Raw genomic sequence first — 22,675 nt, forward strand, 5'->3', positions numbered from 1 at the left:
ATTTGTTCCTTAAACAACTAAAGTGGCCGGGCGCGGTGGCTCATGCCTGTAATCCCAGCACTTTGGGAGGCCGAGGCGGGCGGATCACTTGAGGTCGGGAGTTTGAGACCAGCCTGACCAACATGGAGAAACCCCGTCTCTACCAAAGATACAAAATTAGCCGGGCGTGGTGGCACACGCCTGTAATCCCAGCTACTCAGGAGACTGGGGCAGGAGAATCACTTGAACCTGGGAGGCGGAGGTTGCAGGGAGCCAAGATCGTGCCATTGCACTGCAGCCTGGACAACAAGAGTGAAACTCCGTCTCCGTCTCAAAAAAAAAAAAAAAAAAAAATTGAAGTAGAAGAGTAATGAAATAATAGAAACTTAAGTCTTCTTTTTAAAGAAAATATGTGCACTTTTCTGGGTTAATAAATAGCAGGCAGAGGAATTCCACTTCGATTGTTTTATTGGGAGTGGGGGTTTAACATACCCCACTCTGGTGCTGCTCAGTTAAGATCTCAAGCTTACTTTCTTTTGCACCTCAACTGGAGGGCTTGGCTTTACATACGACCAAATATTCTGGGTTGGTAAAGGCAACTCCAGCAGGCAAAATCAGAGCAATCCCTGGAAAAGAGGAAAAAACTGAAACTGATCATTTGTGGACATTTAAATTTACCAATTGTCTAGAAATTCCATACAAGAGCTGAGATATATGCTCTTGTTCCAACTGTGCACTTACCTTTGATACTTCATTAAGTAAATTATTAATATTTGGCACTGATCTAAATATGCATGTCCCATCTGTTTTACAACTTTTTAAAAAATTTAACTTGCTGCCTGATAGTTAACCAAGTGCATTGACAGAAATGAGGTAAGTATGTGACCCAAGTCTGAGCTTAGGTTTGAATGCAGCTTTCTAATTTCTAATGCTGTGCTTTACTCATGATCCACATTATTTCATCAAAAAGCCTCACCCCTCTGACTCCTCAGGGGTTCATAATGGCACAAAATTTAGGTCTTGCCCTCTACTAAAGGGATGGAATTAACTTTTAAAAGGGGTGATGTTTGATGCAGGGAAGAGAAAGAGAACAGAGAGAGGGGACCACTAGATGACTTACTATAGTCCCTCCCTTTCTACCGCAGAACACAGCAGAGATCAGAGGCCAGGGCTTTCCCTTTCATAGAACTGGGAAGAGACAGTTGTCAGAAGCTGCATGAGGTCTTGGTTTTGTTTTACAAATCTGATCTTTTAATCAAGAGGTTCTTATTCTTTAGAAACACAGTGGTCCCTGGGGGCCACTACCCTTTCCCTTTGAAAACTTGAATTCGAATTCTCTAAGTCAAAAGTGAAAGGTTTTGTTTGTATTCTAAGACCAGCACCTATCTAGTAACCACTTCAGGAAAGCAGCAGGATTTGGGAGCTAGGCCATGCTTTAATTTACATATCATATGTCCTTATGTAAGAGAAAGTTCATACCTTTCAAAAGAAAAAGGAACGTTTGCTTTTTTACATCTTTGTTGTTCATCTGACTCATGAAAGAACATGATCGGTTCGAGTTTATTTTTAGGATATACTGGTACTGGCTTTTAGTTTTAGTAAATGTTAAGTTGGACAAGTTAGGGGCCTAGCTTGGGAGCTGCAGAAATTGGCTGAGCCCCACAGGTGATTTATAGATAATCTTTCCAGTAAGAACATTGAAGGGCTACACACAATGACACTTAGAAAAAGAAGGGAAATGAAGCTGTTCCTTGACTACTACCCAGTTTCTGTTGAGGTTTATTACTTCTAGATGATAAGGTTTACACGAAGTTTACATTATGTTTTTTCAGTTCTCAAGTTTCAGCAAATACCTGAACCAAGTTTTTTTCTGTTATTCTAAGAACTGCCCTGGAGTGCCTTTTAACTTTTGTACCACCACGCAAAGTGTACTATCAATTCATGTCCTTTAGCTCTTCTATTCTTCAATGCATTTCTCCCATTCCTGTAGGTATGGCGGGGATCAACTTTTCATACCACCAAGAGTCACCCCTATTCCCTTTGAAGTACTGCCCTATGGCATAAGCTTGTTCATACGGTGTTCAAACAGCTACCGTTCACTTCTATGAGGGTCACCTTACTGGAAACCAAGGTATGACGAGTAACTAAATCTTCTCATCAAGCAGAAGGGAGCTGGACTTTAGAAATGGAGCCTGGGCCACGCAGAGTGGCTCACGCCTGTAATCCCAGGACTTTGGGAGGCCGAGGTGGGCAGATCGCTTGAGCCCAGGAGTTTGAGACCAGCCTGGGCAACATGGTGAAACCCTGTTTCTACAAAAAAAATACAAAAAAAAAAAAAAATAGCCAGCCATGGTGGTGTGCGCCTGTAGTCTCAGCTACTCAGGAGGCTAGGTGGGAGGATCACTTGAACCTGGGAAGTCAAGGCTGCAGTGGGTTGTGATTGTACCACTGCACTCCTGCCTAGGCAACAGATCAAGACCTTGTCTCAAAAAAAAAAAAAAAAAAAAAAGATCAAGACCTTGTCTCAAAAAAAAAAAAAAAAAAAGACAGGAAGGCAGGAAGACAGGAAGGAAGGGAGGGAGGGAGGGAGGGAAATGGAGAAATGGAGCCTAGGTTTGAATCCTGGCTCCCTCACTTACTGGTTGGGTAACTTACGGCAGGAATTATGACTTATCTGGAAAACAGGGATAATACCTGTTTCAGCAGGTTGCTTTGAAGATTAAAACTTACAAGTACCTTGTAAAACACACATAGGTTCTCAACACGTTAATTGCTTTCCATCCAAAAAGGTTGAGAGATGAGCAGTTGACCTTCACTAACCACTCTAGGTGGTTTATCATCTTTCCCAGAGAAGCTCCGGCTATATACTAAGTATGCCTCATTCAGGATAAGGATATAGCTAGACCCATGGTCGTAACTTTCAAACATCAATTTGCCGACCTTTAGTCAAGCGTATATTTAACATTTAACGTAAAAAGGAGACAAAACAGAAGAACGTGCTTCACGTTACAGGTGGTAGGAATATTTTGCCTATTAAAATGAAGAATGTGAATACAGAGCCTAAGACTTGGGTGCTCAAATTTTTATCAATTGAATCTGTACAGCCATGCAGTCTCTTGGAAGAAAAACAGACTAAGAACCCACTGCCGTGTAACCTTCAGGAGTTGTGTCAAATGCTGGATTAGAAAGCTGACCCTAATTCAGAGTCCCTACTTCTTAATAGGCTTCACACTTTTTTTTTTTTCCAGGCATTAAGCACTGTAACCTAAGTGGGAAGAAAGAGATCCACACCTTCCCCAAAGAAACAGAAGATGGATCTAGTGTCAGGCTCAATTAGACCCAATTGTGATGACTCTCCAAAAAGGAACAATGCGGCTTTTGTGATATGCTCAGGCAGAAAGCTTGGACATTTTACAAAACAATCTTATCCCAAGAGAAACCTGGGTTCCAGCCCTCTTCCTGGAAAGAGGGGTTGATCCAGGAAAGTTTTATACTACTCTTATCAGCTCTTGCTGAGATCAGTATTTTTTTTAACAATCTCAGAAACAACCCAGACCAATGTGAAACCAGGAATATGAACCACTCCCCTGTTGGAGCACTCACACCCATAGGTCTCCACAGCCAAACCACAGGGTGTCAGATTATTTTGTTACTGTCTACCAAAGGGAACTCTTGCTGGAATTCTGGTATTTCATTAATCTGCCCCGATTTCAGTCTAAAAACCCTTGACAGAGTGGATCCAGCGGCCAGCCTCGGCTATTGGAAGTGCTAAAATGCAAATGTGCAAAATCCTGGCCAAGCTCCCCATCCCCCAGGAAAGTGCTTCCTTACAGCCGGGCCTGGAGGGGAATGTGAAAAAGAGGGCTTGAGCTGCCCTCCTCCTCTCCACCCGGACCCTCGCTCACACTGGGAGATTCAGTATGCATGACTGAGCCGGCAAGCACGCAAGGACAGCGCTCTTTTAACTTTTCTCAACAATGGCTTCAGTCCTTCCACCTTCACATCCTCCCCACACCCACTCTCAGGGTAAAAAAAATCCATCTTTCTTGCCCACGTCGTGAACCACTTTTCAACATCACCTCTAGATCTCATTTTCACCCAAAGAAAAACTGGCCACTCGGGGAAACTGTGACTTACATACAAATCTGGTTTTTTAAAAAGTTTCATTTTGTTCAATTTCTTTAAATTTCCACGTTGTTGAAAGTTTAAAGCCAAACATTATATAAATCTCCAGTCTAATCACATTTCTAGAAACAAAACATGTCAGTAGTAAACCTTATACAGAATAAAATTCTACCCATGAGTTGACTCACCCCCACATAGGATGCACCAAACTCCACCTTGCGTCCTCTTAGAGTATACAAACAACACCTCCTACCTTGGCATGTACCCAAGCACACAATGCCTTAAAAATAATTCGCAGATACAAGGCTGTTGTTTTTTTTTTTTTTTTCAAAAACATACTTCATATTTCCTCTTTTATTATATAAATATCAGTTTAACCTTTTACTGTAAGAATATAAACGTTTTAAGAGGATCTTTGTTATTATTTATACAAATTCACAAACAGTACAATTAATTGATAAAGGTCTCTGGGTTTCTTTAACTCCATGGTCTTGCATGTTGCTGTGGAGGGTTCTAAAGAAATAACAACAAAAATCCAACGAAAATATACATCCTACTCAGAAGTGATTTCTTTAAAGCCACAAGTCCCAACCCCCACCAAAAGAAAGAAAGTCATCTATTCCTCCATTTAGAAACGGAATTTTTTAAAACCCACAAACTCCCATTTTGTTAATAGAACAGAGATAAGATATGAGCTTCATCACAGCCCCAGGGGCTCTGCAGGCCAGCTCTGCTCCTGTTTCCCACAGGAAGCCGCACTGTGTGACCTTTTTGGGGGGAAACTTGGAAGAGGGTGAGGGTAGGGCAGAATTTGCATATATAATCATCATTTTCAAGACACAATCTGCATCTCCAACAAAAACAACGGTTCAACTCTCATTGCTCCCACATATTTGTGCTATAAATTAAGATTTAGAAATAGGTCCTCAAATCCCAATGAACAAGGAGAAAAAGGAAATTATAGCCAGAATGTGGAAGTGGGGCACACTGGACGGATGGAGGCTGGGAAGAAGCCAACACAAAAAGACGGACAAACCCAAGGGCATCTTTCCAGTCTAGGCACAAACATGTTTCAGTCTCAAAATATCTCTCTTGTAGAATTCCAGGGCTTCAGAAAAAAAGTAAACTAAAACGAGGTAGCCAGACATATATATGTATATATATATATATATAATTTATATATATATAATATATAGAATATATTCAGCAGAAAAAAGGACCATGATTTCAAATTTTTTCCAAAAAAAAATTTTTAAACAGGAAAGAAGATTAAGAACATGAAATGAGCATGAATAGCAGAGTACTGTAAGAGGAGGAGTGATGAGAAGAGACTGGGATTAGTTACAAAGTGGAAGGGTGAAAAGGCCTTTGTAGCTGGGTTTGCTTTTTATACATTTCAAAATAAAAACCAGATCACAGTATTCAAATGAAAGCTGAAGTGAAAGCAGACATTTTCCTCAACTCCCCAGGGTTGAAAAGACCAGTCACTCCCCACCCCCATTTCCAGTCACAGCAGTGGGGATACAGTAGCTGAATCAGTCCTCCACCCCCTGCAGGGGAGTGGGTGGGTAAGCAGCAGAGTCCATCTCTCCATCCGCGGGGAAAAGGAGCTGGGAGTAGGGTAGGGTAGGAACCCCAGCTGCAAAGAGAATGGGCTGGAAGCCGGGAGGGGGCTGGAGGAGGGAGGAGGAAACGAGCCTGAGGCTTCTGTCATAGCCCCATCTCATCCGCTGCAATGATCTGTGCGTAAGTGTGCGTGTGAGTGTGTGGGGGCGGTGGTAATGGGAGGATGAACAGGGCGGGACAAGGGGAGCTGGTGCTGCCGCCCTCACCTGACCTTCTCACTGTCCGTCATCTGCCAGAGTCCCAGGTTGAGTACCTTGAGGCACGGCAGCTGCGTGATGCGCTCCAGGCCGCGCTTGGTGATTCGGGTGCAGCCGTACAGGTCTATGCCGGTGAGTTGGCTCAGGTGCTCAGCGATCAGCTCCAGGCCCTTGTCCGTGATGCGCACACACTGTCCAATGTTGAGCGTGCGCAGCCCGTGCATCTGCCGCACCATGCGGTTGATGCCATCATCACTGATGTGGCAGGAGCAGAGGGAGAGAGACTTGAGGCCATCCAGCCCCTGGGCTATGTAAGCCAGACTCTGGTCTCCCACCTTGTCACAGAACGAAACATCCAGCCCCGAGAGGCGCAGGCTGCCCATGGCCAGATGCATGATGCCCGTGTCACTGATGTTGTCACAGGAGCGCAGGTTGAGGCTGCGCAGGCTGCCCATGTGCGACAGGTGCAGGAGGCCAGCGTCCGAGATTCCCCCACAGAAGCTGAGGTTGAGGAGCCTCAGGCCCGTCAGCCCTCGGGAGATGTGCTTTAGAGAAAGATCTGTGAGCTTCTGGCAGTCCTGTAGCGTGAGCTGCTCCAGGCCCAGGCAGCCCTCCGCCGCGCTGCGCGTCATGCCGGCCAGGTGCCCGATGCCCACATCCGAAAGGTGGCGGCAGCTGCGGAGGTTAAGGCTCTTGAGGCGCTGCAGACCCCAGGCGATGAGCAGAAGGCCAGTGTTGGTGATGTTGCTGCAACCTCCCAGCTCCAGCACCTCCAGGCCCTTGAGGTACTGGGCTATGCGGCCCAGGCTGCTGTCAGTGATCTGCTTGCAGAGGCTCAGGTTGAGAGCGCGCAGGGAGCCGATCTCCTGCACAAACGCGTGGCCCAGCCCGTTGTCGGTGAGGTTGTAGCAGCCGCTGAGGTTGAGGCTCTCGATGTTGGCCATGCCCTGGATCACGTAGCTGAGGCTGCGGCGGAGGCTCAGGATCTGCACCCGGCGGATGCCCCGGGCCTGCAGGCTGGGGAACAGCGACGGGTTGGCCCGGCGCAGGTGCAGCTTGGCCTCCACCCCCCGCCACACCGACTTGTGGTAGGCGGCGTCCCGCCAGGCGGTGCACACCTGCGCCGCGCGCCCCTTGTCCCGGACGTCCAGGTAGCCGAAGATCATGGCCAGCAGCTCCGGGAACAGGCATGAGATGTGGGTCTCCATCTTCCTCCTCCCCCCTCCGCGGCGCTGGGGGGAGGAGGCGCGGGCCCCGCCGCTCCGGCCTCGGGCAGGCGACGAGAGCGCTTCTCCCCAGCCGCCGCCGCCGCCGCCGCCGCCGCCTCGGGCCCAACGGCCGGCCCCTCCCCGCCTTCCGGCTCCGGCCGCCGCCGCCGCTCCTCCTCCTGGTCCGTCCGTCCTTCCTTCCTGCCGGCTGCGCCTCCGGCCCGGCCCTCCCCCGCCCCGGGCTCCGCACGGCGCTCACATCCCGGGCGGGGAAGGCGCCTCGCTCTCGCTCCCGGAGGCCGGCCGCCGCCGCCGCCTCGGCTCTACCCACGCCGCGCCCGGGCCGCGCCGCTCCGCCCGCGCCGCCGCGCCCACGCCCCCTGCCGCATCCTCCGCCTCCTGCCGCCGCCGCTGCTCCGCGGGCCGGCGGGCGGCGAGGGGGCCCCGGGGGCCGGGCGCACGGGCTCCGGGCGCGGAGGAGGCTTCCTGCTGCCTTTGTCTCTCGCCCGCTTTTCAAACCTCCCAGCCCCGGGCCGCCCGCACTCCGCCGCCCAGGCGGGGGGACCAGGAGGCCAATCCCGGCCGGCGGCGTGCGTTCCTTCTCCCCCGCCGTCCGCGGCCACTTGGGAGCTGCCGGCCCCCGCACCAAGGACGCCGCGGCCGTCCGGCCGGAGCGCGGCTCGGCGCAGACCCCGGGCGAGCAGGCGGGCCGTGCGTTTGGTAGCGCCCGGGCCGGCCCCGGCTCCGCCGCCCTGCAGCGCGTCCCCTCCGCCGCTCCCGCTCCCCCGCGCCCGCGCAATGGTACGGGCCTGCGCTGCCGGAACTGTGGAGCCGTTGCCCTGGAAACCGAGTTCGGCCTGGTCCCGTGGCCCCTGATTTTTAACCCTGTGGGCGCCACGGGGGAGCGGCAGCTGTCAGCAGAGCGCCTCCCCACCCGGCTTCTTTTCACCCGGTAGCCCGTTATTGAGCCGTTCCCTCTCTGGGCCACGCCCCAGCCCCGTTCCTTCTTTTTCTTTGCTGTTGAAGTCTGCGCAGCCCCTTCCCACAGTTTACCCCTGCAATTCGTTACCCTTATTTCACACCCCTCTCCCTTGATTATCCCTGCGAGAGCCGCCTCCTATAGCAGTGCTCAATAATCGTCACCCCAACTCTCCTTTTCTTACTGTCCCTAATGCCCCTTAACGCCTCATTATCACACCCCCTGCTCCCCCGGTTGGGGCTGTTTACTACGACGCCTTTCTCTCCAGTCTTGTGTCTTAAATTGGAGAGAAACTCGGCTGTACTCATCTTAAACAATGACCCCCTCCAGTCGGTGTTCTAGAAATTTCTAGAATTATCCATGACTACTTCCTTCTAGCATCTTCTGATGGTTTCCAGACACGCTGTGTGTGTTTCCCTCGGTACTTGATACATCAAAACTTCCCTCTACTTCTGAACGCTGCTGCGCCACCAATGCCCTCAGTCCGCTTTGCTTACAGGGGAACAGCCTTCCCCTAAGCCTTGTTTTAGGAGCTTTCTCCTTGTCATCAGCCTTAGACTATCAGTTGTATGGCTCAGTTGTACTGATAGTCAATATATTCGTATATGCTGAATCCAATTTACTTTTTGATTAAAATGGAATGACAGTTGAACTTGGTTTAAGACAATCCAGTCGTGTCTGTTGGTTTATCAACCGTTTTATGGAAGCAGGGCACAATTCCATTCTAGGATGTAGCCCCTGGGTCCTAAATGTCCGTACTAAGGATAGAATTTCAGAAGTTTCATTTTAACTACCCCCAAACCAAGAATTTTTGGATCAGAGAAAATGATCCTCTGTATTTTAATTTATGGATCCACACAACTAGATACAAGACCAGCGGATTTATCAGAAAGGGAAAATGGTTTCATTGATTCTTTGAGGACCTGAACAAGATTTGGAAGGGGTTCCATATTCAGTGTAGGAGAGTAACTTTTGCCCAAGCAACCACTATTAGACCAAATACATACAGATTCAGTAATAGGCATAATACACCTTTTACACCCCTACCACTCCTCTTTCCTAAATCAGGAAATGCAGAAGCAAAAATTCTCGCCAGCTTGTTACCTCACCCACATTACACGCAGTGTGGAGCCCATAGATTTTTATAACCTTCTTGAAAAAATAGACTGTACTGTTAGTCATCCAGTACATCCAGATGTACGGTGGCAGTAAGTGTCACGATTCTGGGGTATGCCTGGGCTTCACTCTTCTCCTGGAGGTTATCTAGGCTTTTATTCTTCTCAGTCACTTCTGCCTAAACGTTTACCTTAAATTCTGCGCAAAAGTCACTTTTTGATTGTTCTGTGCACCTAGATGTGTTTGGGTTGATGTCAAGGCCTTAATCCAAAGCACCTTAGTGTAACTTAATCCTGCTTAATAAAAAACAAAGTACCCCACACATTTGGGGGGAATTTTAGACAAGGGGCCTGACCAGCCTCGGACTAAGAAGGAGCCTAATGGTTTTCCTTCTCTAGAAAGGCCCTTGTTCTCAAATCTGAAGAGTCATTCAGAGGTATCTGGAAGCACTTTCTCTAGAAGTTGGCCATCTGGTCCTCGTTCTAACAACAGTTTTTCTTGAATTCTAGAATCTTATTAACACAAAGCCTTTTATTTAAGGCACTCAAGTATATATTATAAGGATTTTCAGCAATATGACTATTTTCACCTTCAATAAATAGGAAAATATAGCATCAAGAAGCATCACAGAAAAAGCATTCCCGGGGAAAAGGAACTAGGGCGTAGAATGAGCCCTATGCCGAATCTGAACACCTGGTGACTTTATGCTACTGAGGAAACGACTCTCCTTTCTGGGTCTCGGTTTCCTTGTGTAACACCAGGATGATTTGACTAGGTAATCTTCAGGGACCTTTCCAGTAGGAACACTCTGAGGCCAAGAGCCTAGCATACTGTCTCCTTAACCCATGGAACAATTACACATTGTTCCTAATGCAGGCTCCAGATATTAAGAATAACTTCGAATACAATAACTTCCTGGGAGCTTTGGTTTATGCTCAGACTTAGGACACAAAAATATATGAAGAATATGTATAGACAGGAGACTCTGATTGTCTGGCAAAGATGTATACCAATGTAGAAAATCCTGTGGCTTGCTCTTCATATTTTTAAAACTGGTTGAGATTTTTGTATATGATTTAACAAGTTGCAACCATAAGTTTTTTAACTAGCCTATTTAAAAGCAGAAATGATAGCCTTGTGTAGGGAGTCTCTCCAAAGCCTTACAAAGAATTTTTTTTTTAATTCTAGATTTTTCAGATGGAATGTGCTTTTCACCTGGGTAGGGTGGGAAAATTGAGAGGCCCAACCCAAAGATCAGGCTTACCTAAGGATTCATACTTTCTCCTTCAGAAGGGGAAGACCTGGCAGGAAAGATCAGAAGAGCTCTGTAGCTTTTAACTCCTCATTCAAGTATATATATATATATATATATATATATATATATATATATATATATATATATCTCCAAAAATAGTGGCCCAGAGTCTAGTTTATGGGTTGGGTCAGAGGAGTTAACATAGGCCGGGCAAAGTGGCTCATGCCTCTAATCCCAGCATTTTGGGAGGCCGAGGCGGGATGATCACTTGAGGCCAGGAGTTCGAGACCAGCCTGGCCAACATGGTGAAACCCCGTCTCTACTAAAAAAAATACGAAAATATTAGCCGGGCATGGCAGCACATGCCTGTAATCCCAGCTACTCGGGAGGCTGAGGCATGAGAATCGCATGAACCCAGGAGACAGAGGTTGCAGTGAGCTGGTACTGTGCCACTACACTCCAGCCTGGGCGACAGAGCAAGAGACCTTGTCAAAAAAAAAAAAAAGTTAAAATATTTTGTGTCTATTTTCCTTGAACTCTAGTGTATCTATGGCACAATGCCTGCTATGTAGTAGACATTTTGTCAGTGTTGTTGAACTGAAGTGAATGAGATGGATAATATAAATAATAATCTCTTTATGAAAGACTTCATACATATCGAAACTTCTTCGAGAGTTCTGGGCAGCCATTAGTAATCTGAGGTTTATAATAAAATGCTGCCTTTCCAACTTCAAGGTTTCTTGAGAGTAACATTCATTCTGTTGCTCAGTATTTCTAAGTAGGAGAGCATCTCTCTCGACACTTCTTCGTGACAGAATATTAAAGATAAGAGAGGGTGAGGATTTGATTCACTGATTGCAAATAAAAGATTTAAGCAGAAACAACAACCAAAAAAAGCCCAATTTAAAAATGGGCAAAGGGTTTAAATAGACATTTCTCCAAAGAAGATACACAGGTGATCCACAGCACATGAAGAGAGGCTCAACATCATTAGTCATTAGGGAAATGCAAATGGAAGCCACAGTAAGATACCACCTCATATCCATAAGGATAGCTACTATTAATAAAACAGAAAATAACAAGTATAGGTGAGGATCTGGAGAAAGTAGAATCCTGGTGCACTGTGGGTGAGAATGTAAAGTTGTGGGCCAGGCACAGTGGCTCACACCTGTAATTCCAGTGCTTTGGGAGACTGAAGCGGGAGGATTGCTTGAGCCCAGGAGTTCAAGATCAGCCTGGGCAACATGGCAAGACCCCATCTCTCTTATAAAAAATTGTGCAGCTGCTATGGAAAACGGTATGGCCATTTCTCAAAAAATTAAAAATAGAGCTACCGTATGATTCAGCAATTCTGTTTCTAGGTATGTACCTAAAAGAATTGAAAGCAGGGGTTCGAAGAGCTATTTGTACATCCATGTTCATAGTAATGATATTCGTAATACCAAAAGTTAGAAGCAACCCGAATGTCTATTGACAAATGAATGGATAAACAAATCATGGTATATACTCACAAGGGAATATTATTCAGCCTTGAAAAGGAAGGAGATTCTGACACATAGTGAGACATGGATGAACCTTAAGGACACTGTGCTAAGTTAGTAAGCCAGTCACAAAAGGAGAAATACTGTACAATTCCACTTATATGAGGTATCTAGAGTAGTCAGAATTATAGAAACAGAAAAAATAATCATTGCTAGGGGCTGGGGAGAGGGCTGATGCAGAATGGGGAGTTGTTTAATGGATATAGAGTTTCAGTTTTACAAGATGGAAAAGTTCTGAAAATTGGTTGCACAATATTGTGAATATACCTAACACTTCTGAGCTATGCACTTAAAGATGGACCAGGCGCGGTGGCTCACGCCTGTAATCCCAGCGCTTTGGGAGGCTGAGGCGGGCAGATCACCTGAGGTCAGGAGTTCGAGACCAACCTGACCAACATGGAGAAACCTCGTCTCTACTGAAAATACAAAATTAGGCGGGCGTGGTGGCTCACACCTGTAATCCCAGCACTTTGGGAGGCTGAGGCAGGCAGATCCCCTGAGGTCAGGAGTTTGAGGCCAGCCTGACCAACATGGAGAAACCTCGTCTCTACTAAAAATACAAAATTAGCCGAGTGTGGTGGCACATGCCTGTAATCCCAGCTACTCGGGAGGCTGAGGCAGGAGAATCACTTAAACCCGGGAGGTGGAGGTTGCGGTGAGCCAAGATCGTGCCATTGCATTGCAGCCTGGGCAATAAGAGCAAAACTTCGTCTAAAAAAACCAAAACCAAACAAACAAAAAAAGGTTAAGATGACAAATTTTACGTTGTGTGTACTTTACAATTAAAAATTTAAAAAAGATTTTAGCAGGACAAACATTTTGAAATAAAGATAGAAAAAAAGAGAGAAAAATAGGTGAAAAGTATTCTTACATCAACAGATTGCCGGGAACCCCCTGAGATATTTGAGATGTTCCCCCAAATTATTAGCTTGCTGTATCTTGTAAATGTAGGCTTAGGATCATCTTTATCCACTACCGTAAAAATAAGGGCTTGTGATCTGGGTAGCCAGAGCCTTCCCGTGAGGGTGAATGTGTGCTATATTGTCCACACTGGGAAACCCACGGAGGTGAAAGGGGGTGCTGTACTATTAGTATTCACGCCCGATGGATGGTCACGCCCTTTTACTCTTGAAATCGGGTTGCCATTTGTAATTTGTTATTTGCAGCTTTTGAGTGTTAACTATAATAGGTGTTTTTGTAGTTTCAGGCACCCAACCAAAGAATCAGAAATACGGTAATAGAATAATCTCAGATATCAGGTATTGTTTGTTCAATGTTGACAAACACCTTAGGTACTTGTTACAAAACAGGTAGATAGAACAACTCTAGGAAAATAAAGTGTGTTGTAAATGTAGCCATTTCCAGGTCACCGAACACTTAGAAAGACGGGTTTTCAATTTATTCAATCATTCAGGCTGGGCAGGGTGGCTGTAATCCCAGCACTCTGGGAGGCCAGGGTGGGAGGATTGCTTGATCCCAAGAGTTTGAGACCAGCCTAGGCAACATAGCAAGGTCCCATCTCTACAAGAAATAAAAATAAAAATAATTAGCCAGGCGTGATGGCATGCACCTGTAGTCCCAGCTAGTCAGGAGGCTGAGGCAAGCGGGAAGACCGCTGGGCCAGGAGGTCAAGGCTGCAGTGAACTGTGCTTGCCCCCCTGCACTCCAGCTTGGGTGACAGAGCCAGACCATCTCTCGAGAAAAAAAATTCAGGAAAATATTAATACAAATTATATACATTGCTCTGTGCTATGAAATAAACAAAGATGTAGAAGATTACGTTTTTGCCTTTAAGAACTTGGGATCCAGCAGGTGAGCTAGAAAATACCTGTGACAGTGACAGTATTTGTTAGTGTTATAAGTGCCAGCAGAGTGATAGAAATAAAGTTCTCAGTTTGGAGGATCCATAGTGAAACCTAGAATTTGAATAGGTGTTGATGGGAAGAATGTCATTACATTATAGTGGAAATTTTTTTAGAGAATAGGCTGAAGTTTTATATTGTTTAGAAAAAAATAAGAACATTACAATAGCAACCATGTATTGTCATACATTGTTATGGATCTTCCATATTGAGGCATCAGTTAATCTAAAAAATCTAAAAAATCACTTTCCTAAAGAATTCTTGGCTTTTATTTTTCCCAAGAATAAGAGATCTGGCTGGGCACGGTGGATCATTCCTGTAATCCCAGCATTTGGGGAGGCTGAGGTGGGAGGATCACTTGAGCCCAAGAGTTCGAGATCAGCCTGGGCAACACAGGGAGACCCTATCCCTACAAAATTAAATTTAAAAAATTAGCCAGACACAGTGGTGCGCACCTGTAGTCCCAGCTATTCACGAGGCTGAGGTAGGAGGATAGTTTGAGCCCAGGAGGTCGAGGCTGCAGTGAGCCGTGATCACACCAGTGCACTCCAGCCTGGGTAACAGAGAGAGAGAGGAGAGAGAGAAAAAAGAGAAACCTTTAACTCTTATGTATCTGGAATTGGAAATTCAGTATCTGAAGTCAGAAAATTTTAATTCATGGTCTGGACTTTGCAACTGTTTTTACAACCGAGATTGCCTCAAAAAAAAAATTTGTTTTAGTCAGCTCTCTCCTCATTTGCCCCATTCTTCTCTCTAACAATAGAACCAGACAAGGATGGAAAAAGAGGGAAGTTCAGGGTGTCCTGCCTGTGGCGTCCACGTGTGACTCTCCCCTACGTGCCCGTGCTTTCTGTTCCCATTCCCGTGAGCTGCGTTCACACCATACTTGGAGTCTGAAGCTGTGTGTTTGAATCCTTGCCCTCCCACTGTAGTCTGTTGCCTGACCTATGGCAAAGTCACTCAATTCTTTGAGCTTCAATTTCCTCATCTATAAAACGAAAGTGATTGTCGTTCACGGAGCTGTGGTGAGATGCGTTAAGAAAACATCCACGAGAAAGGAAGGGCCTAGTGCATGCCCGGCACATAGTAGGGACCTAGTAAATGCTGTTTTTGTTTTTTTCTTGTATAAAGATGCACTTTGAAAAAGAAAAAAAAAAACCCTTACAGATGTGCCTCAGAATTATACAGATGTACATTTACTGACAGTGACACTTTTTTAAAACTGTACTTCCTGTTTTAAAGAAATGTGCAGGTTCGAAGCTGGGCGCAGTGGCTCATGCCTGTAATCCCAGCACTTTGGCAGGTCGAGGCAGGCGAATCACAAGGTCAGGAATTCGAGACCAGCCTGGCTAACTTGGTGAAACCCCGTCTCTACTAAAAATACAAAAAATTAGCCAGGCGTAGTGGTGGGTGCCTGTAATCTCAGCTACTCGGGAGGCTGAGGCAGGAGAATAGCTTGAACCTGGGATGTGGAGGTTGCAGTGAGCGAGATCACTCCACTGCACTCCAGCCTGGGTGACAGAGCGAGACTCTGTCTCAAAAAGAAAAAGAAATGTACAGGTTCAAGGACTGGAAACATAACAAAAGCGTAGGCGCATAAGAGAATGATCTTTCAGGTAGAGCCAGCCATGTGTTTGCATCTTATCTTCTCCTCTGTAAGTCAGGAAGGGTAGCATGTTCCATTCATGCGCAAAGAAATAGTCCAGAACTCCTCTTCTGCCAGACATCCATCCGTCCTGTGGCCTTGGACCTATGGTTTCACTACCAACTCTTACTCTTTCTTTTTTCTGAGACAGAGTCTTACCTTGTCGCCCAGGCTGGAGTGCAGTGGCGTGATCTCGGCTCACGGCAACCTCCTCCTCCCGGGTTCAAGCGATTCTCCTGCCTCAGCCTCCCGAGTAGCTGGGATTACAGGCACCTGCCACCACGCCTGGCTGACTTTTGTATTATTAGTAGAGATGGGGTTTCACTATGTTGGCCGGGCTGGTCTTGAACTCCTGACCTCAGGTGACCCACCCGTCTCAGCCTCCCAAAGTGCTGGGATTATAGGCGTGAGTCATTACGCCTGGCCCAACTGTTACTCTTTCTTTTGCTTAGCGTGGTGATTCTGAAGCTTGACTAGGCATCAGAATAAACTTGAGGGCTTCCTGATGCAGGACATCTGGGGAGAGGCCTGAGAATTTGCGTTTCTCACATTGCTGTCAGCATCACCTGGGAACTGGGGATCACAGAACTGAGAATCGCTGGTAGAACCTCCTAGTACCCACCTTTTTTTTCCTTCTTTAAAACTTTTGTTAAATTATACTTCTTAAAAGCTCTCTCTTTTTTGGCAAAATTAAAATCCTGTAGGACAAAACTATAGTCCCCCGCCCCCCTCCATCTTCTGTCGTTTAGATCATGAGCTCCTCTGATACAAAGGTTGAAATTTTCTCCAGTGGTATGGTGGAAAGAACTTAGGTTTTACAGTCAGATGAATTCTAGGATAAAATCTTGACTCTGTCACTTATTAGCTCTATGACTTTGGACAAATTATTTAACCACTAAGAGGCTCCATTATCTCATCTATGAAATGGAACTAGTGATTTCCAAATCTTGGGAGTTTTGTGAGGGTTGACTGGGGTAATGTGTGTAACCTCCTAGTATGGTGACAGACCGTAATGAAAACAGCCTAATGTTTACAGAGCATTGATTGAGCAGTAGGCCTTCTTTTAAGGTCTTTACATTTATGAACTTCCCTAATTGTGACAACAGCTCATTTTACAGCCTATGAAGAGGGTTCATTACTATCTCCATTTTACAGATGAAGAAAGTACAGCCCAGAGAAGGGACTGGCTCAAGACCAAACAGCTGGCCGAACTGGAATTTGAATTCTGTGATCTGGATCTAGAGCCCATATCCCAGCCACCATGCTTTGCTGTGTTAACAGTATAAGTTTAGCAGTCCGCCTTGCTAGGATGCAGTTACTCTATGATGCCACGTAAAGAGAGGTCCATGACACAGACAGATAAATGCCACATGTTCTCACTCATGTGTGGGAGCTAAAAACAACTGAGCTCATAGAAACAGAAGTAGGGGTGAGGCACTGTGGCTCACGTCTGTAATCCCAGCACTTTGGGAAGCCAAGGCGGGTGGATCACTTGAGGTCAGGAGTTCGAGACCAGCCTGGGCAACATGTGGAGACCCCCATCTCTACAAAAATACAAAAATTAGCCTGGCATTGTGGTGCGCACCAGGGATCCCAGCTACTCTGGAGGCTAAGATGGGAGGATTGCTTGAGCCCAGGAGGTCGAGGCTGCAGTGAGGTATGATCACACCACTGCACTCTAGCCTGGGTAACAGAGGGAGACCCTGTCTGAAAGAAGGAGGCTGGGAAGTGCAGCAGGGAGGGGAGGGCAGGAGTAGGTTGGTTAATGGATGTAAAATTACAACTAGACAGGAGGAATAAGTTCTAGTGTTCTAAAGCACCGTAGGGCGAATATAGTTAACAATTTATTTTATTTGTTCAAAAAGCTAGAAGAGAGGATTTTCAGTGTTCCCAACACAAAGAAATGGTTTTCGAGGTGATGGATATGCTGATTACCCTGATTGGATCCATTACACATAGCATACATGGATAGAAATAGCACTCTGTGCTCTATAAATGTGTACAATTTTTACATGTCAACTGAAAATAAAAGGAAAAAAAGATGTGCAAATATGTTTTGAGATCTTTAAAGCGCCATGTAAATGTGTGGTATGTTTTGCTTGTTAGGAGTACTGCTGTCCCATTATGTATTTGAACAACTCCTCATAAAGTACCTTTGGCTTGGGGAAAAAAAAGAGTTAACAGTGAGTGTCATATTGACCATACTGTGAGCAGGATCTGGTCACGGTGAGGCATGGTGATCATGGAAGACACTCGAAGGCTCTGGTTGGTTTGCTAGCCAAAATAGGTCAGAGTGTGTGTGTGGGGGGGGGTGAGAGTGTGTGTGTGTGTGTGTGAGAGTGTGTGGGGTGTGTGTGGGGGGGTGAGTGTGTGTGAGACAGTGTGTGAGGGGTGTGTGAGTGTGTAGGGTGAGTGTGTGAGAGAGTGTGTGAGAGTGTGTGAGAGTGTGTGGGGGTGTGTGAGAGTGTGTGTGGGTGTTTGTGGGGGGTGTGAGAGTGTGTGGGGGGTGAGTGTGTGTGAGTGTGTGAGGGGTGTGTGTAGGGTGAGTGTGTGATAGTGTGAGAGTGTGTGGGGGTGTGTGAGAGTGTGTGGGGTGAGTGTGTGGGAGGTGAGAGTGTGTGAGAGAGTGTAGGGTGAGTGTGTGTGAGAGTGAGTGTGAGAGTGTGTGGGGTGAGTGTGTGTGAGTGTGTGGGGGTGAGAGAGTGTGTGTGAGAGTGTGTGTGTGAGTGTGTGAGAAAGTGTGTGTGTGAGAGTGTGTGGGGGAGGGTGTGTGTGTGTGAGAGTGAGTGTATGTGAGAGACAGAGGGTGGTGTGTGTTTGTGCCTGTGTGAGTGTGTGTACTGCAGGGTAGATATCCTGATACCTGTTTCATGCCTTCAGGCCCACAGCTGGCTGTGGCCTCGCAGGACCAGGAATGCGTTTGTGTGTAATTATGTCACCCTCTAGCGGTGACTTCCCTACTAGCCCTTTATCCTTGAAAAGCCCACTCGGGTGTCGGTGACCTCTCTTCCCAGTGACAGCCCGGGAGCAGAACTTCGGGGAGATTCTGGCATGGAGGGACAGTGCTGGGAAAAGCGGGGTGTGGCCGGGCATGAAGAGAGTGCCAGGGCCCGGGAAGAGTGAAAAGTACAACTAGGACTAATGAGGAGTGCACCCTGCCGAGCAGAAGGGGAAGCAGGAGCGGGCCAGGCACAGCGTCTGGAGAGGAGGGAAGAGAAGGCGCTCTCAAGGGGAGGCTCTTGCGTGTCAATTTCTGCCAAGTGCCATTTTATGTCTGTGGGGTGGGACGGTTATCGCAGCTAGAGCTCTTTCCAGAATGTCAGCACTGAGGGCCGAAGTGGGCGTGGAGAAGCAGTTTCAATTCTGTTTTCCAAGGGAAGTAGGCACAGGTTTAGAGGCTGCCTGGAGCTGCCTAAATTCCAAACGTTCACCACCGTGGAGTGGACTGCTGACTTGGCTGCTTCTGCCTAGCCTGGGGCTCTGTTCCCTCTGCCAGTAAAGGTCATTTTATCAGGATCCTCAGAGGCTTTCGCATGTTGATAAATATTTCAAAAGACAAGGGGGAATCAAGATCAGTCTTACTGAGAGCGGATTTGGAACTCCGCGTTCGGCGGGACGCTGCCGCCCGAGGCCTGACTGAGCCACAGTGCGAAGGGTGCTCCCTTTTTGAAAAGGTGCTGGCGCCAGGCCAGGCTTTGCTGGAAAGTCCTATCTGGATGAGTCAGAGCATTTACATTTCTTACATAATGTCAGACCCAGAGGAGCTTTAGGGATCAGCCCAGCTACAGAGTTCACAGCCAGGTCCCCTTTTCTGCCAAGAGGATAGGGTTAAAGGTTTTAAAAAAAACAAGCAGAGTCTCAAGGGGCAGAAAAGCGAAGGCTCAGAGTTAATGCTGATTAACTCTTCACACCCCAGAAAAGATGGTTCTGAGGTAAAACCACACCTTTATGTCACATGATGCCACTGCCTTCCTGAATCCAGTCATTCCTAAAGAGGTCAGTAACACCAAGCACTGACCTTCCCGCCTTGTGTGCAGGAAATTAAAGAGGCATGAAAACCCTGTCCACATTTTCTCTAAAGTTGGAACAGCTTGCCTGGGGCTTCAGACTGAGCTTCAATCTCAAGCTTCAGTGAGATTCTTTGTTGTTTATTTTTTATTTTTAAACTATTTGGCCAGGCGCGGTGGCTCACGCCTGTAATCCCAGCACTTTGGGAGGCCGAGGTAGGCAGATCACTTGAGGTCAGGAGTTTGAGATCAGCCTGGCCAACATGGTGAAACCTCATCTCTACTAAAAATACAAAAATTAGCCAGTGTGATGGTGTACGCCTGTAATCCCACCTGCTCAGGAGGCTGAAGCAGGAGAATCGCATGAACCTGGGAGACGGAGGTTGCAGTCAGCTGAGATCGAGCAACTGCACTCCAGCCTGGGCGACAGAGCAAGACTCCGTCTCAAAATAAACAAACAAACTAACTAACTAACTAACTAACTTACTATTGAAGGCCAAAGAGTTCAAGTAACTAACATAAGAAATCAGTGGCTACTGTTGTAACCATCAAGAATTCTTTAATGGGCCAGGTGCAGTGGCTCAGGCCTGTAATCCCAACACTTTGGGAGGCCAAGGCAGGTGGATTACGAGGTCAGGAGTTCGGGATCAGCCTGGCCAACATGGTGAAACCCTGTCTCTACTAAAAATACAAAAATTAGCTGGGTCTGGTGGAGCACACCTGTAATCCTAGCTACTCAGGAGGCTGAGGCAGAATTGCTTGAACTGGGGAGGCGGAGGTTGCAGTGAACTGAGATCACGCAACTGCACTCCAGCCTGGGTGACAGAGCAAGACTCTGTCTCAGAAAAAAAAAGAAAGAAAGAAAAAAAAAAGAATTCCTTAATTTCCTTAATTTAACTGGTTCAGGGAACCTAAATGAGAGTTGTCACATAATAGCAAATCTTAGTGACCAGATGACACTCAAAGCAGGTGTAAATATTTAACAAAAGCACTGTGTAGACATTTAATGACAATGGTTGCTTTTTGTTTGCTTGCTTTTTATTTGTTTACAAATGAAAATAAAGCAGAGAATGAGAAGTCACTTTCTCAGGGTCACGGGAACAATTCAGGTTGAACGCATCTCTCCTCCGACATGCCGAGCGTCTTTGAGTCTCCTCACCCAGGCGCACACTCAGGATTGCAGTCATCTGCTATTGTTGCCTTTATTTATTTTGAGACGGAGTCTCGCTCTTGTCACCCAGGCTGGAGTGCAGTGATGCGATCTCGGCTCACTGCAACCTCCGCCTCCCGGGTTCAAGGGATTCTCCTGCCTCAGCCTCCCGAATAGCTGGGACTACAGGCATGTACCACCACGCTCAGCTAATTTTTTTTTTTTTGTATTTTTAGTAGAGACGGGGTTTCACCATGTTGGCCAGGCTGGTCTTGAACTCCTGAGTTCAGGTGATCCACCCGTCTCGGCCTCCCAAAGTGCTGGGATTACAGGTAGGAGCCACTGCACCTGGCCTATTGTTGCCTTTTTACTTGATATTTCAATAAATTTGTGAGCAATTGGAATGGTAAGAAATTCGCTGCAGTACATAAAAGTTTGATCACTTAGACTGCTGTGTGATTAGGGTTGCTCAGTGATCTTCCGGCAATAAAGGGAGGAAAAGGAGAAATTTCAGATGGAGTGATGATGGATGTCCTCAGGCATGTCAATGGCTGCTGAAGTGCTATGGGAAAATGGAAAACACAATCTTTGGGATCCCTCTTTCAGCCATTTTCCTGCTTTTATATCTATAAACTTTAAAAAGTAGGGCATACTTTAAACAATAGTATACTAAGAAATTGTCACCGCTGGCAGAGCCAAAATTGAATCAGCTTGCCTTGTGATTACATCAGAAATGTGTCTTAGTCTGTAAAGCTTCACTACAGGAAATGCCCAGGAGCTGCTAATAAAGTTTAATACACATTTGCTTCCTTAATGCTATATTAACATCCTGACCATCACAACTTTCATTGTAAACCTATTGCTTATTAAAAACACCCTGTAAGATGTCACAAACTGACAGAAAGTTGGGGCTACTACATGAATTAATATGCTAACTAGTATTTTTCAGTGTTATATAGTATAAGATAGTAAGTGCTTGAAATATGAGCATTTTGAAATCCTTGGCCAGCATAATCCCATGGGTAACACTGAATTATCCATGGCTGTGGGAGAGAGCAGGTGGTTCACTTCCAACCATGGGTTGTGTTCCAAACTAAGGGTTTTTGTTTGTTTTGTTTTCTTTCTTTTAAAGAAAATCAAGTTTATTTTTGAAACTGTTCATTTTAATTCTAAGACAAAGCTAGAAAAAGAAGAATGGAAGATCTGGAAAAAAAGCATTGTCAACTGTCACTGTCCTACCATGGGAAAGAAATGTCTTACAAACGGAAAAAAAAGTTGGAGAGAACGAGAAGTTTCTGGTGTTATGTAAGAGGAAGCGCCCAGATTACATATAAAAGTCAACTGCTTCACGCCCTGTTACTAAATATTAGGGATGCAAAATACGTGGTGGCAGTAAGTCAGAGCCTGGTTTCCTAAATATTTCTTACATGTTAGGGATCCTGAGAGATCCCTAAACAAGTAGAAAATTCTTTTTTTTTTCTTTTTGAGACAGGGTCTCACTCTGTTGCCTAGGCTGAAGTGCAATGGCATAATCATGGCTCACTGCAGCCTCAACCTCCTGGGATCCTGGGCTCCTGGGCTCCTGGGGTGATCCTCCCACCTCAGCCTCCCGAGAAGTTCCACTACAGCCAGCCACCACGCCTGGCTAATTTTGCATTTTTAGTAGAGACGGGGTTTCTCCATGTTGGTCAGGCTGGTCTCGAACTCCTGACCTCAAGTGAGCCACCCGCCTCGTCCTCCCAAAGTGCTGGGATTACAGGTGTGAGACACTGCGCCCGGCCAACAAGTGGAAAATACTATCCTGAATGAGTGTGTGTGTGCCTGCTGGGAGAATATTTCCTAGTGTTTCCTAGATCCTTGTTAGTTGACTTCCCACCCACAAAGCCCCAGAAGGAGTAAACTGTCTCTAAATATCAGAATAAACAACAACAATAAAACAACTTTTATATTTTCATTTCTTTTTCTTTTTGTTTTGTTTTGTTTTG

General features: G+C 46.2%; 1 protein-coding gene across 6 annotated transcripts in view, besides 10 other annotated features; it reads right to left on the reverse strand.

Moving 5' to 3' along the window:
* Positions 1-7,911, reverse strand: part of FBXL14 (F-box and leucine rich repeat protein 14) — a 28,850-nt gene extending 20,939 nt beyond the window's left edge. For 2 of the 6 annotated variants that reach the window (NR_175934.1, NM_001405291.1), the window contains exon 1: positions 5,937-7,911. Coding sequence is in view for 5 of the 6 variants with exons in the window: in NM_001405291.1 (NP_001392220.1) it covers positions 5,937-7,135 (1,199 nt within the window). In the remaining variant the exon portion in view is untranslated. Of the gene's footprint in view, positions 1-429; positions 606-5,936 lie in introns of those variants that run through there. The other 4 variants (NM_001405292.1, XM_047428391.1, NM_001405293.1 and 1 more) reach the window with 3 other exon arrangements.
* Positions 911-1,570: an enhancer, noted in NCBI's record as "OCT4-NANOG hESC enhancer chr12:1697008-1697667 (GRCh37/hg19 assembly coordinates)". NCBI's record gives its function as "activates a minimal SCP1, AML or CMV promoter by ChIP-STARR-seq in naive H9 embryonic stem cells {active_cell/tissue: H9 hESC(naive)}" and the evidence as "EXISTENCE:reporter gene assay evidence [ECO:0000049][PMID:30033119]".
* Positions 5,604-6,207: an enhancer, noted in NCBI's record as "H3K27ac-H3K4me1 hESC enhancer chr12:1701701-1702304 (GRCh37/hg19 assembly coordinates)". NCBI's record gives its function as "activates a minimal SCP1, AML or CMV promoter by ChIP-STARR-seq in naive and primed H9 embryonic stem cells {active_cell/tissue: H9 hESC(naive and primed)}" and the evidence as "EXISTENCE:reporter gene assay evidence [ECO:0000049][PMID:30033119]".
* Positions 6,125-6,174: a silencer, noted in NCBI's record as "silent region_4114". NCBI's record gives its function as "represses an Ori minimal core promoter by ATAC-STARR-seq in GM12878 lymphoblastoid cells {active_cell/tissue: GM12878}" and the evidence as "EXISTENCE:reporter gene assay evidence [ECO:0000049][PMID:35858748]".
* Positions 6,725-6,914: an enhancer, noted in NCBI's record as "active region_5804". NCBI's record gives its function as "activates an Ori minimal core promoter by ATAC-STARR-seq in GM12878 lymphoblastoid cells {active_cell/tissue: GM12878}" and the evidence as "EXISTENCE:reporter gene assay evidence [ECO:0000049][PMID:35858748]".
* Positions 7,155-8,024: a silencer, noted in NCBI's record as "silent region_4115". NCBI's record gives its function as "represses an Ori minimal core promoter by ATAC-STARR-seq in GM12878 lymphoblastoid cells {active_cell/tissue: GM12878}" and the evidence as "EXISTENCE:reporter gene assay evidence [ECO:0000049][PMID:35858748]".
* Positions 8,285-8,354: an enhancer, noted in NCBI's record as "active region_5805". NCBI's record gives its function as "activates an Ori minimal core promoter by ATAC-STARR-seq in GM12878 lymphoblastoid cells {active_cell/tissue: GM12878}" and the evidence as "EXISTENCE:reporter gene assay evidence [ECO:0000049][PMID:35858748]".
* Positions 18,400-18,921: an enhancer, noted in NCBI's record as "H3K27ac-H3K4me1 hESC enhancer chr12:1714497-1715018 (GRCh37/hg19 assembly coordinates)". NCBI's record gives its function as "activates a minimal SCP1, AML or CMV promoter by ChIP-STARR-seq in naive H9 embryonic stem cells {active_cell/tissue: H9 hESC(naive)}" and the evidence as "EXISTENCE:reporter gene assay evidence [ECO:0000049][PMID:30033119]".
* Positions 18,512-18,571: an enhancer, noted in NCBI's record as "active region_5806". NCBI's record gives its function as "activates an Ori minimal core promoter by ATAC-STARR-seq in GM12878 lymphoblastoid cells {active_cell/tissue: GM12878}" and the evidence as "EXISTENCE:reporter gene assay evidence [ECO:0000049][PMID:35858748]".
* Positions 18,692-18,771: an enhancer, noted in NCBI's record as "active region_5807". NCBI's record gives its function as "activates an Ori minimal core promoter by ATAC-STARR-seq in GM12878 lymphoblastoid cells {active_cell/tissue: GM12878}" and the evidence as "EXISTENCE:reporter gene assay evidence [ECO:0000049][PMID:35858748]".
* Positions 18,922-19,441: an enhancer, noted in NCBI's record as "H3K27ac-H3K4me1 hESC enhancer chr12:1715019-1715538 (GRCh37/hg19 assembly coordinates)". NCBI's record gives its function as "activates a minimal SCP1, AML or CMV promoter by ChIP-STARR-seq in naive H9 embryonic stem cells {active_cell/tissue: H9 hESC(naive)}" and the evidence as "EXISTENCE:reporter gene assay evidence [ECO:0000049][PMID:30033119]".

This window comes from Homo sapiens, chromosome 12 (assembly GCF_000001405.40).
Source record: "Homo sapiens chromosome 12, GRCh38.p14 Primary Assembly".
NCBI lineage: Eukaryota > Metazoa > Chordata > Mammalia > Primates > Hominidae > Homo > Homo sapiens.